Genomic DNA, 14,356 nt, shown 5'->3' on the forward strand with positions numbered 1-14,356 from the left:
CATGAGGTAGTGTATCTCAGTTTATGTAGCTACTTAGCTAATAGTTGTATTATCATTTATTGGTTCTCTTTTTGAGTTGTATTTATTGAGCATTTTAATGTGACAGGCATTGTGCTCAGTGCTGAAGATAAAAAGATGGGAAAAATAAGTCCAGTCCTGGTCTCGTGGCTTTTACAGTCTAGTATTATAGAAAATCATCATGTAATTATGTTTAACAAAATTCAAAATTGTGGCTATGCCAAGTGCTGAGAAAGAGAGATACCTGTTCTCATGAGACCTTTTAATAGGGGATTGGCCATAGTCACAGATGGGCTTTTGTGTTCTCATAAAAGCTGGTCAAGAGAGGGCTGTGGGAGATTGATATTCAGCAGGAAACATACTACTTGCTCTAAGATCTTTTTTATCTTCTCTCTCAGATGAGCAGAAACTATATGAATGTGATTTTGCAATAAAATGCTCCAGAATGGAACCAGAAAGAAATATTTTTAACTCTTTCCTGCCTGGTGCATCGCCTTTGATCATCTTTCTTGTTTATGGCATCTATGCTCACATAGCTTTTTGCACTTGCCTCCGGGATGAACAACTGTAGGAGGCTTCTTTGCCCAAGTGTCTAGTGCTTCCCACCTTCTTTACCTTGCCACCTTGGCAATCTTTGTATTGCCAGCACTTAACAGGGTACCTGGTACACAGTGGTTCTCACAATGCCCAAAGCCAGCTGACTTAAAAGTTAATATAATATTTCAGGGCAGGGCAGACAACACCTGCCTAGGAAGATGGAGAGAGGAAGGAAAGGACTTCTCTTCCCTGAATATGCCAGAAATATAAAGCAAGGAGTGGAATGAAAACATCAAGGGGCAGCTCCTTGAAAGAGTTCAGTGAATCATCTTGTGGGGAAGATAAGAAATGTTTTGAAATATGTCTGAAAAGGGAAGAGGGCATTCCAGATACAGGAGACATCAGGTACGTAAGTAGGAAGGTATGAACAATATCACCTGCAATGGAAAGTGTCACGATATGGGTGTGCCAGGAACAGAGAGAGACTGGGGAAAGGCTGTTAGATGAATAAATAGGAGATGACCTGGGGAAGTAGTTGGAGCTGAGTTGTGAAATATCTTATGTTTGTCAATAGTTTAGATTTTTTATTATAAGAAACAAATATACATACAGATTGGGGAAAAGCATAGGGCTTTGCAAAATACAAAATTCAGTACTGCTAATATCTTACAGAAAAACAACACAGAACAAAACAAATCCTCCCAGCTGTGATCAGCATGCTTAGATCTTGTCTTGAACTTCACAAGCCTCCTAGGGATGAAAACCTACGTGGTATGGTACCCTTGCTCCTCTTGCAACCACAGAGTTAATATCAGCTTCACTGTGTGAAGGTAAACAGGCCTTTACACCAGAGAAATATAGCATCTTGTTTTTAAAAATACGTCTTTTGTTAGTTTTAATATTTTTACTTTAAAATATATATTAACTGTAAGATTTTGTAACTATTCCATGAATGTATTCCCTCATTATTATCAAAATTCTTCATATACTAACAGATTAGAAAGTTTTTTGCATAAAAAGTTTATGCAAAAAAGAAATCTGGCTATTACTGGAGTAAATAAGTGCCTAATATGCCTGCTTCCATTTTGTAATCTATGAACTACAAGTAAGTTTTATGTGAACAGATTCTTGTGTGTAAACTGGTGGTTCCCAATATCTCACTTAATTACCTCTCATCCTATTCCTAGAAGCACACTTAGGGACACATATTGGCTGGGCTGTGGGACTGCCAGCTACCTAATTCTGATCTCTTTGAGGATTCAGAATTGCAGACCTCAGTCAGAACAGGTTACACTAACTAGTACACTGTCACACATATTTTGCCACCAAACATTCTGATTCAGTGCCATGGTTGGGGAAAAATAGGTGTATAAATCAGAGTGCAAGAAAACAGATGTTATGTTCCAATTAGGATAATTTGAAAAGGATATATTATTTATGAGGAACTAATGACAAAATTTTGAGAGATTGAAGTTCATATCAGAATTTCTAAGGGCCAGAGTAACTGCTTTAATACCCAGCTTTGCATGTTGTTAAACAAAGTTTAGTGGAGGCCGTTGCTGTGAACTAGCCTCTTGCACTTGCTCTTAGCAGACCGGATCAAACCAGAATGGAGTCACTTAGACTAAGGGACGGTAATCAAACAATTTTGAAATGGGCCAGTTTTCCAAAACACAGGAGATTCCAGTCTGCCTGACTCAGCATAGTAAGGAAGTTCCCTCAGTTTTAACCCTATGAGGATGGTAACTTTCCAATAACCAACCCGCCTTGTGTTCTGTATTTCTGCTTTCTTCAGCCATTTTCTGCTTATAAAGCCAAATTTGTCTTCTCAACTCATCAGAATACTCACTCTATGTTATAGAATCACAAATAAAAGTCAGTGAGATCTTTAAACTAAATTTGTTGTAATTTTGCCTTATAATATCATTGTCTGTTTGGAAAATAAAATGCAACATACCTGTGTGCATACATCAATTATTTTATGGACAATTGACAATTGAAATGAATCGAGAAGGGGGAGAATTGAAGACAGAAGAAGATCTACCACAGCAGTCAGAATTTGTTGAGTCAAATCAGTTTTCTAATTATGAATGCATCACTTCAAGGGAATACAGTTTAAGCAAAAAGCAGTCATTTGTTGTTTGTTTATGAGACACCCCTGTCTGCTGCTGGGACACATCAGCGGCATCATGAGTCTCTAGCTCCAACTCTGCAGGTGTGTTTGGTTTACTGATTGGCTGCCCGCCAAATCAGGAGCTGTTCTGCCTTATTGAAAAGCCCTGTGGTTCACAACATGTTTTCCTAAGTTTACTAAGTGGTATAAACCTCTTAATCTTAAACTGCTCTACAGCACCTGCCCTGCCACTTCAAATTAACTTGGTCCTTGTTCTCAATCTCGATTCAGTGCATAAGCTTTTCATTGGCCAAGGTGAGTGCTGAAGTAGTTTTAGCTGCTTTTTTACCCAAGAGGTACCAGGCAGCACCAACTAGCACACAGCCAGCATTAGGAGGCAGTAGTAGAGGTAAATGACAGTCTCTTCTGAAAATTTTAATGCTTTGCTTTTGTATCTGAAAATTTCACTGGAATTGATTTCTTGTGTGTAGTATGAGATAGGAATCCCATTTCACTTTTTACATGGCATTTCCCCAAAGGATCATTTATTGAATAGTCCATCTTTTCCCTACTGGTTTGAAATGCCACCACTGTTAAAGATCACATTTATGTTTATATGTGTTGATCAGTTTCTAAGCACTGTATAGTATCTTATTGGTCTGAGTTTTTAAAAAATCAATGCATTATTTTAAATCAAAACTTCATTAACTCTTTAAACTTATTTAGCTTAATCTTACTATTTTGTTGAATAATACTCCCTTGCTTAATCATCAATTTTTTGAATTAAAAAATTTTGCTATAAAAATATAATTTTTGCTAAAAAAGTTCTATAAAACTTTTAAATTAGTTTATAATTTTTCCATGAAAATATCTTGTTGGGATTTTAATTGGAATTACATAAATTTATGAGTCAATTTGGGAAGGATCAATATCTTTAATGTTTGTCTATAAATACGATGTGTTTATCCATCATTTATGTCTCCCTTAATACTTTATACAAACTTTATAATTTTCTCCATAAAATATCACAAATCTTTCATGCCACTCACTCATTCATTCATTCCTTTATATTTTTTAGAAGGCTTACTTGAACCAGAACATTTGCTAGCATACTTGTAGCATATAGATTTTTAAAATGTTTTTTCCATCAATATTTATGGTGCTTACCATAGATTTTTATGGATATGTTTTTATCAGGTTAAATGTGCTCCCTTCTAGATTTAACTTTTCCTATGAATAGATGTTTAATTTTATTGAATGCTTTAACTCATCTGTTGAGACAGCTAAATCGTTTTCTTCTTCAAACTTAAAGTGGAAAATTATACTAATTGATTTTTAACATCTCTAATATACATTCAACTTGATTATAATGAACTATATTTATATATCTTTTAATTTGGATTGACAACATTTTATTTAGGATATATGCACTATTTTATAAGAGAAATTGACCTATAATTTTTTGTTCTCTAATTTTTTTATCCTTATAAAACAATTTAGTGAAGATTTTCTCATTTTCTGTTCTCTGGAAGAGCTTGTTAAAACATGTAAACGTTTAGCATAAATTACCAGTAAGTCCTAAAGTCTTAGAATTTTATGGAGGAGAGAGAGTTGGTTAAAATTTATTTATTCAACTTCTGGTTAAGGTATATTCAGACATTTAATTTGTTATTAAGTAATATTTGATAAATACTTTCATAGGAAATTGAAAATTTGTCCAAGTTTTCAAATTTACTGGTGTAGTTATTCAAAATATTATATTACTTTCTAAATGTTACTTTATCTTTAGCTATGAGCTTTTCTGATTCCAAATATCGTATATATGTGTTTCTCCTTTTTTTACATGATTTCTAAAACGTGTAAAATGTGTATATGCATGTATATATGGGCAGGTGTGTGTGTGTTTCTTCTGCTGTGAGAAATCTGTCTCCCAGCAACATGTTTACTATTTTTTACTGTTCTTCCCATCCCCCAATTAGGACTCATATCTGTAGGTTTCTAAAAACTGCTAACATTTCCAGTGATTCTTTACTTATAACAAGATGAACAGGATGAAAGGGCAACTTCTCCAACTTCACAGTTACGTGTCTCTGCTAAGATTCCAATTCCTTCAACCCTATATAGAATTAGCAATTGATAACATTATTTATTATTTAATTTTATAATGCATTTAAGATAGTTTTAGAATTGTTTCATTATACTATTTAGTGTCACTCTTTACAAGAATGCTTTTGGTCTTAAAGATAATTTTTTAAATAAAATGTAGCTTTACTAATTTTCATCATTTTCTTTTCAACCTTTCAATACCTTTATATTTTAACGTTGACTTCTATAAACAGTATATGAATTTTGTTTATGTACTGTGACAGTCTCTGTTTTTTAACCTGTTATTTTAGTTCACCTACATTTATTATGCTTACTGTGGGTATTTGGGCTTATTTCTAACATCTTATATGGTGCTTTCCATTTTTTTTCCCCCTTCTGCTTTCTCCCCTCCTATCTTGCCTTCATTGGATTGATCATTGTTGCTCTGTTTGGAAGTTATATATACTATTTTGGTTTTTTGAAGGTTGCCAATTAAATTTTGATACGGATGTGTAATTTAATAATGTCTCATATTAATATCTTTGTTAAAGATTTATGGAAGACTGAACTCTTATCACCAGTCTCTCATTTTGCACGTTATTGCTGGCAAGTATTTTATTCTATCCTGTTTTTTACCATTCTTCCCATCCCCCAATTAAGACTCATATCTCTAGGTTTCTAAAAACTGCTAATATTTCCAGCGATTCTTTACTTATAGCAAGATGAACAGGATGAAAGAGCAGCTTCTCCAACTTTACAGTTAGGTGTCTCTGCTAAGATTCCAATTCCTTCAACACCATATAGAATTAGCAACTGATAATATTATTTATTATTAAGCATAGAGAATTGTTTCCTACAACAAAAGAATACTAATAGGAAGAAGAATCCATGTTCAGTATTTTAGCTATGAGAAAATGTCTTGAAGACTGCACTATATGCCTGAGAAATTTTCTTCTTATTCTAAATGTCTAATAATTACCTTTTATTAGGACTTTAGCTCTGTTAAATAGAGATTAATGTGCTAAACTCAGTAATTTACTGAGCGCTTGCAATGGAGTTTGTCAATATTCTCTAGAAAGCCATTAAGACTGAGATCTCTTTCTAGCCAAGCAAAACTAGAGTCATAATAGGAAGGGGCATGAAATAAAAAAACAAGGAGAAAGACCTAGAACAGAGGACTGTAAGACTTGAGCAGTCATGAGGCAAAGTATTAAGCACCTGAGGTGAAGCCTGAGGACAGGGTTCAAGACCATAGTAAGCAGCAAATGGTTAACACTATCTCCTTTTGCCTTGATGTACATACAGGTTCTAATAACACTTGCATGCCTCTTCTATTAGCATCATGTGTCCCATTTTGACTATGAATAAAGGCACTGAGGAAGTATCAATGTGAGCCTTCAAGTTTGGGATGGAAGGACAAAGAGAAACAGATGTAAATAAGCAGGATTCCATGATTACTCATATGTGACCAGAGCAAGTATAAGTATGAGGCATAGCATGTACGCCATGGCCTCATACTGCTCTGCTCACATAGGAGTAATCATGGAATGTATGAGAAGTATGAGGCATAGCATGGGTACATCATCCTAAAGTATTGGAATTCCAGTGTAGTAACTGCAAGTGCCAAATTCAGAGGGTTATTCTGGCTCAAAGCTATCAGCAGTGAGTGAGAAGTCCAAGTCTAGGAGCTCTGGTGTTGGTGAAACCAATGCGTGGATGGTCTCACAAACAGAAATGGTTTGCTTTCATTTGCCTTTTTGACCACCTACTGTGTGCCACGCAATTCATATACATTATCTCTAATGTTTCCAAGAACCTTAGAAAATTGGGGAATTACAGATCCCTATTTTATATTAAAAAAAACTGAGATTAAAACATATCAAGAGACTTGACCATTTTACAACTACCAATTGGTGGAGCTAGGATTTAATACCAGTTTATTTGACTCCAGAGTCTCTGCTTTCCCCCCTACCTTTGCCATCTCCCAGTGAAATAAACTCCCATTCCTTCCAATTATATCTTGAAAGCTTCAACCAAAAGCAAGGCTAAAAAAATACACATTTTTTTCCTTCTCTAAAATATATATCGTGTGGATGATCTTATTCTGCACTTTTACTGAATATCTTCTTTCTCAAGACATAATCTTTATTAAGCACAAATCTGCCGGCAACTAATAGACATTAAAGAAGTTAGTAAAAAAATAAGATATTTTTGTTGAGAATAAGTATATGAAAAAATTGCTACCTACTGCATGAAATTTTGAAGAAATTATGGCATATGTGACAAGAGCTCCCCACAAGGTAGCTGAGGAATAGAAAGTTTATGATTCTTGTTAGGAAAAAAATGTTTTAACATAGATCTGTAGTTGTATTTTTATTTTTTAACTGAAAATGAGGACTGGAAGATCGTCAGGGGTCTCATGTGGATTTGCACTACTTGCCAGAGAAAGTAAATAAGATTGTCACTGCAGCTGATTAATTTTCAGGACAAAATTTGCCTCTTCTGTCTTCAGTTACTGTTGCCATGGTGATGTTATGACATCAAATTTTGCACAGAAGGTTACTACTTCTTAACTGTAGACTCTTGCTTTAGCTGGATAGGAAGAATTTCTGGGTCACTTTGGGGAAGATCTTTATATGTTAAAGCAAGTGTAAGGGTGGAGAGTTATCCATTAAGATGTTGATGTCTTTTTAAATATTCTGAACATGAGTAAGAACATTGAACTCTGACTTGTATTTGCATAAATTGAAGCTTTCAGTAAAGTGCTTTTCTTTGACACTAAAAGTGCAGAATCTCTTACTAGCACTGAGCAGGAGAATGGGAAGCCTCACATAGTGAAAAGAGTATTAGTCTTAAGAGGGGGAAATGAAAATCCAATACTGTCTTTTACTATGTGACTGAATTTAATTCCTCTGACTTTTACTTTGCTCATTCATAAAGTATAAATAATTTATGTTGTTGAAAAGATAAAAGGAAACTTTACAGATATAAAGTATCATTGTAGATACATTTTCTGGCCACTAGCATTCTGATTTACCTTTGGGGAAATTATCTCTACTATTCTCAATTCATGATGTTCAGATAGGGCTGACAATGTCCTAAGATCATTGGCTGAGTTTGTGACTCAGAATTGGCTGATTAGAGTTCTGCATTCTTCTGGGCACAATAAATGGTCAGGATGGACTTGGATTAATTCAAGCCGGGCCACTGAACCCTTCTTGAGACTTTCGTTGAATACATGGAGAAAGTTACATTGTCTTTCAGGTATGTTGCTTAGGTGGTAGGATATAACTCTAAATTGATAGGCATCTTTGTTATGGTTGGAGATATTAAACCTGAAAATGAAGTTGACACACAGAGAAGCTGAGCTGAGAGAGAGATAGAAATTGTATAGTTTGACAACTTGCACCCAGAAGTGACTGACATCTGCTCCTTAACTTTCCTCAAACTATAGTAGCTGATTTATTGCTTAAGCCAATTTGAATTTGGTTTCTATTACTTGAAACTGAAGAAATTTTGAACACCAGGATCATTCTTGTGCTTATTTATATATAATTTTAAGTTTTATATATATATATATATAATGTAAAAATTAAAATAGATAATAAAAAGTTCTTTGCAATTTAAAAATTAAAATAAAGAACAGAGAAATTTTGCTAAATAACTAGAATTTTACTCACAACTAGAATGGTCAAAAGCCAGCCATCTCTGACTTTGAAGTCACTTGCCCTTTAGATGTTTCTCATTCGAATATTTCTTTTCCCATATTAATATTTCTATTTCTGAACAATGAATTGGGTCACCTATTTGGTAAATATAATTCACTTGTGCAGTGGCTTAGGCCTGTGATCCCAACATTTTGGGAGGCCGAGACAGGCAGATTGCTTGAGTCCAGTGAGTTTGAAACCAGCCTGGGCAACATGGCAAAACCCTGTCTCTACCAAGAAAAAAAACTGCAAAAATTATCCAGGCATGGTGGCTCATGCTTGTAGTCCTAGTGACTCAGGAGACTGAGGTGGGAGGATTGCTTGTGGGAGGACTGCTTGAGCCCAGGAGGCAGAAGTTGCAGTGAGCTGTGAGCGTGCCACTGCACTCCAACCTGGGCAGCAGAGTGAAATCTTATCTCAAATATATATATACATATATCACTCTTTAGGGTGGCTCTTTTTTTTTGGTTTGTGTGTTTTACTTATTTTTTTATAAGCAATTAATCATGAGATTAGTAATGCTGTTCAAGGAGGGACCAGTGGGTGAGAAAAGGACCAAGGCTAGAGGTCTGAAGAGGATACTATGTTGTATATGTGGAGAAAAAAGAGCCCATGAAGAAGACTGAAAATGAAGGCCATGTGTGCAGAACAAAGTCAAAGGAGTAAAAGAAACATGTAAGAAACATGTTAATGGCCAGCACATCCCAGGTCAGCACAGAAGCCTGATAAGTTAGATACTAAAAAGTTTCCCTTGAAGTCAGGATTTAGGAAGTCACTAGTGAGAGGAAGTCCATGAGATTTGTTGAGAGGCTCTATTTCAGTGGAGTGAGAATTAAGTGAATATTAAAAAGTGGGCATTGAAAAGTAGAGATAACTCATTGAAGATTCATGGAATAAGAGGAGAAAAGAAATCAGACGGAGTTTAAAATCTTTTCAGAACAGAAGAGCCTGAGCATGCTGATTGGCTGAGGAGCAGCCAGTTTAAAGGAGATGTGACATATAAAAAGGGGAACTGATAATGGAAGGTCCCAGCTGAAGGGAAAAGAAGTGAATCCCAGAGCATACGTAAATGTGTTTCCTGGAGCAGGAGAGACACAACCTCTGAAATCAGAGAAAAGAAGGAAAAAGTGTGTGTCACTGTAGATAAGCATGTTTGTTGCAAATCAGAGAGCTAAGGAAGATCACCACTGAGAATTTTAATATTCTTGGTGAAGTAGAAGGCAAGGTTATCTATGAGATAAGGAAATTTGGTCACTGTTAAAGAGAAACAGAGTCCAATGTCCATTAAAGGCAGCAAAGCAGATTTTATTCAGACTACTGCAATGAGAGAGAAATACTTTGGTATTGACTGAGCTCAGTTTTGTTGAAACAAAATGTGGGATTGTTTGTTTGCTGGGGTGTGACAAAGGAAAAGTACTGAAGGACACTGAGGCAGGGAAGGTGGGTCAATGTGATAAGGTCATCTGTGTATTTGTTAACTGGTGTTTATCGAAGTTAGGCTCCTGCACTCTCATATAGCCTGGAAGACAGAGCTTTAGCATTCTTGACGATGACATTTCAAAGGGCTGACTTTCAGGTTCTTGAGAATGACATTTTTGGGTTGCAGAAGATGCATCTCAAAGGGACAAATGTTTTACAATTGCAAGTTTTCTCAAGTAGAAGGAAGGGTTCCTAAGAAAAAAGAGATCAGGGACCTATAGTCAGATTTCTGCTGGAACGAACAGTAAATTCTTTGGCCAGCATTAAGCTTTTTCAAGCAGGCATGTTAAGGGGACTAGTGACATCATCCTAGAGGCACTACCTTGAGCTGTGAGAAGCCATGCTAGAGGTTGGACAAGGAGAGAGTGTTTGTCACCATGTTGTCTTTGACTTTCTCAAGTTCATACTGAAATGGATGATACAGGTTTATATCCAGGTGTTAAAGCAGTGAGCCTGAACGTATGAGCTAAGTTTAAGCAATCTCAGAGAAAGCTCTCTAAACTGATTATATTAAAAATTGAAGGCGGGGCACAGTGGCTCACGTCTGAAATCCCAGCACTTTGGGAGGCCAAGGTGGGTGGATCACGAGGTCAGGAGTTCGAGACTAGCCTGGCCAATACAGTGAAACCTCGTCTCTACTAAAAATATAAAAATTAGCCCGGGTGTGGTGGCATGCACCTGTAGTTCCAGCTACTCAGGAGGCTGAGGCAGGAGAATCACTTGAACCTGGGAGGCTGAGGTTGCAGTGAGCTGACACCACACCATTGCACTCCAGCCTGGGTGACAGAGCGAGAGTCTCTCAAAAAAAAAAAAAAAAATTATAACAGAATGTTCAGCATGGAACAGTATAGAAAACTGAAATAGAGAAGTAGATCAAAAAGAATACAGCCTCACAACTAGAATCAGAAGAGACTGTGAAGCAGAGCTGGAAGACAACACAGCCCTCCTACTTTGCCTACAGCCTTCAACACAATGTCCTATGATATGAAGTTGGTTTTAATACCACAGCATATTATTTCCTTATGCATTCAGTGTTTTGATCATTCATGAAATTTATTGAATGCTTACTCTATGCTAAGCACGGGTCTAGGGATGCAAAGTTCAATATAATTATAACTACTTATTAATTATGTGTTGTATGTGTTATGTTTAAGCTTAATTTAACTGTCAGTAAATTGTATGTGATTCAGTCCATGAAGTGGTACTGTTTTATGAATGAATCTTTTTATTTCCTATAATGCTATGAATCCAGGGAAATTTTAGGTATTAATAATGAGACATGTTTGAACTGTGGCAGACCCAATTGACACTTGCAGGCAGCATCATTTTTCATTTTTGGGGCAAAATCCTAGCATAAACAGTTCCCCGCTTAGGATGGTTTGACTTACTTCTCTTTTTTTTTACTTTACAATGCTACAAAAGCCTTACACACTCAGTAGAAAACATACTCCAAGTACCAATAAAACCATTGTGTTTTTCACTTTCAGTACAGTATTCAATAAATTACATGAGATAGTTAACACTTTATTACAAAATAGGCTTTGTATTAGATGATTTTGCCCAATTGTAGGCTAATATAAGTGTTCTCAGCCCATTTAAGGTAGACTGGGCTAAGCTATGATGTTCAGTAGGTTCGGTGCATTAAATACATATTTTCAATTTACGATGGATTTATTGAGGCATAACCCCATTGTAAGTTAAGGAGCAACTCTACTGACATGATTTGATCAGATCTTTGCATTCACATGGCATTGTGTAGTGTGATGAGGTTTACAACACATAACTAATGAATCTATGCGATTGGTAATAATCTTCATTTGGTAAATCAAGTTCAATTTTTATGGTGGATTTTTAAAAAATTTGTCTGCATGCACTTTACATCGTTTTTATGATAACCAATGAGTCCATGAGACTAGTGATGCCACAAACTTGGGTTTGAATTTGTGCAAGTTACTTATTTTCCACATTTGTGGATTTGTGCAAGTTACTTATTTTCCACATTTATAAGAAGAAAATTTTAGTATTTACTTTACAGAGTTAGATGGGAATTAAATAAATTTTTGTAGGCTACTCATACAGCCAAAGCTGAGCATATTTATGTATTAATATGGTAATATCTGTTTGCTTTAAGACATTTTTAGGTAGTTTTAATGAATGACAAATTTTTAAAAAAATTGTCCAGATTGTACTATATAGAAGAGATACTTCATATGCCTTATATCCTAATCCAACTTATTTTCAGAAATAATATTTTCAGGAAGGTAAGCCATTTAATAATTCCAAGATCCTTTAGGTAGAAGCTTTAGTTATCCTGTGGTGATGTATAATCAGACTGAGAGTGAGACAGAGATGTCTCAGAACACCTCAGCAGGAGAGCAAAGCTCCGTGACTGTGAGTCCATAATCTGGCTTTGGAGGAGTCAAGTCTCACAGTGTAGGGCCCAACTGCAGAGGTCAGCGCTGAGAATAGTTGTCCTAGAGAGACCTCACTAGAGCCATTGTTCTGGTCTACAGGTACTTGAGTGCAGGATTGGACCATGATGTCAAGAACAACAACAACAACAAAAAACAACAAATGCTCAAGGAAGGGGAAACTAGACCCTACATAAAAACAAACAGTTATAGGGACTTTGTGCTAAAACATAATAACTTATTAACTTTCTACAAACAAAGTTAAAGATTTAGCCTAGATCTTGGAGTAGAGCTGAACTTGCAGGTTTTTAACTTTCACTACTTACCAATTTGTATATCAAGAACATGGAAGATGTTAAATAATTCAGGCTAACAAAAAGAGAAAGGTTATAGAGTATGAACTAGGTAAGGCATTTCATTAGCTATTTTTTTTTTTTTTCTGAGATGGAGTTTAGTTCTTGTTGCCTAGGCTGGAGTGCAACGATGTGGTCTCCCCTCACTGCAACCTCTGCCTCCTAGGTTCAAGTGATTCTCCTGCCTCAGCCTCCCAAGCAGCTGGGATTACAGGTGTCCACCACCATGCCTGGCTATTTTTTTTTTTTTTTGTATTTTTAGTAGAGATGAGGTTTCACCATGTTGGCCAGGCTGGTCTCGAACTCCTGACCTCAGGTGATCTGCCCACCTCGGCCTCCCAAAGTGCTGAGATTAGAGGTGTGAGCCACTGTGCCCAGCCTCATTAGCTAATTTTTTATATCCTCCCTAGATTGAGAGGATATGGCCTTTAGATATAGGAAAATCAGCTTCAATACAGGGATGACCCAGTGGAACAAATACCAAAGATGAAATAGTAAGGTTAAACATGCACCATTGTGATAAGATAAGCATATATTTTCTTTGCCTACTCAGGACCTCTCTCTCATTGATTGTGTGTTTTGGATGAATTTGAACCTCTGGTGACAGAGGTAAACATGCAAAGATACTTAAGCCAATCAAAATACTTCATGACCTTGACATAATTTATTGAGGATGGGCACATGACATTTCATCTAAGTTATTTTAGTAGTCATAAAATTGTTCATATTTCCTTATCACCCTTATAATGTCTGTAGGATGTCTAGTGATGTTCTCTATTTCATTTCGGACATCGGTGATTTATTTGTATTCTCTCTCTCTCTTATTGATCAGTCTAACTAGTGGTTTATAATTTAATTACTCTTTTTAAAGAACCAGTTTTTTATTGATTTTATCTATTTACTTTTGTTTCACTGGTTTCTGCTGTTATTGGTTTTATATTTTTCTTTCTATTTGAGTTTAATTTGCTCTTATTTTTATAGGGTCTTTTAGTAGAAGATTAGATTATTGCTTTCGTCTATAGCTTCGCCCTCACAAATTATGTCATGTTTTCATTTTCATTCATTTAAAATATTTTCTAATTTGACTTGTGATTTCCTATTGAGATGTGTGTTATTTAATTTCAAATATGTATTTTGGACCTTTTCATAGATAGTATTCTGTTTTATTGCTCAATTTAATTGCATATTGTCAGAGAACATACTTTGAATTATTTTGTTCCTTTTAAATATATTGAGACTTATTTTGTGGATAAGCACATGGTGTCTACTGGTGAATATTCCATGTGCATTTGAAAAGAAACTATATTTGTCAGATGTTGGACAGGGTGTTCTCTGTGTCAATTAGGCCAAGTTGATTCTTGGCGTTTTTTAGGTCTTGTGTGTTTCTATTGATTTCTCTGCCTTCTTGTTCTATCAACCTGTTTAGAATATGAAGTACTGACATCTCAAAATGTAATTTTGGTTTCAACATAATTATGGTTTTTAACTACTTCTGTGTTTACATCTTTTACTTCATGTGTTTTGAAATTACGTTACTAGATCATGCTTTTTTATTGTATTTTTATATCTTCTTGATGAATTGACCTCACTAACATTACCAGCTTCTCTCTCTATTCATTGCAGTATTTCTTGTTATTAAGACTCTCTTGTCTC

At 35.6% G+C, this 14,356-nt stretch overlaps 1 protein-coding gene across 4 annotated transcripts in view, besides 1 other annotated feature; it reads left to right on the top strand.

Annotated features, from left to right (window-relative positions):
• Positions 520-1,719: an enhancer, noted in NCBI's record as "P300/CBP strongly-dependent group 1 enhancer chr15:54127299-54128498 (GRCh37/hg19 assembly coordinates)". NCBI's record gives its function as "activates an origin of replication core promoter dependent on BRD2, BRD4, P300/CBP, MED14 and CDK7 cofactors, with strong dependence on P300/CBP, by STARR-seq in HCT116 cells {active_cell/tissue: HCT116}" and the evidence as "EXISTENCE:reporter gene assay evidence [ECO:0000049][PMID:35650434]".
• Positions 3,020-14,356, top strand: part of UNC13C (unc-13 homolog C) — a 795,839-nt gene continuing 784,502 nt past the window's right edge. For all 4 annotated transcript variants that reach the window (XM_047432538.1, XM_017022220.2, XM_017022221.2 and 1 more), the window contains exon 1: positions 3,020-3,077. The gene's annotated coding sequence lies outside the window, so the exon portion shown is untranslated. The remainder of the gene's footprint in view (positions 3,078-14,356) is intronic.

The sequence above is a fragment of the Homo sapiens genome, chromosome 15 (assembly GCF_000001405.40).
Source record: "Homo sapiens chromosome 15, GRCh38.p14 Primary Assembly".
Lineage (NCBI taxonomy): Eukaryota > Metazoa > Chordata > Mammalia > Primates > Hominidae > Homo > Homo sapiens.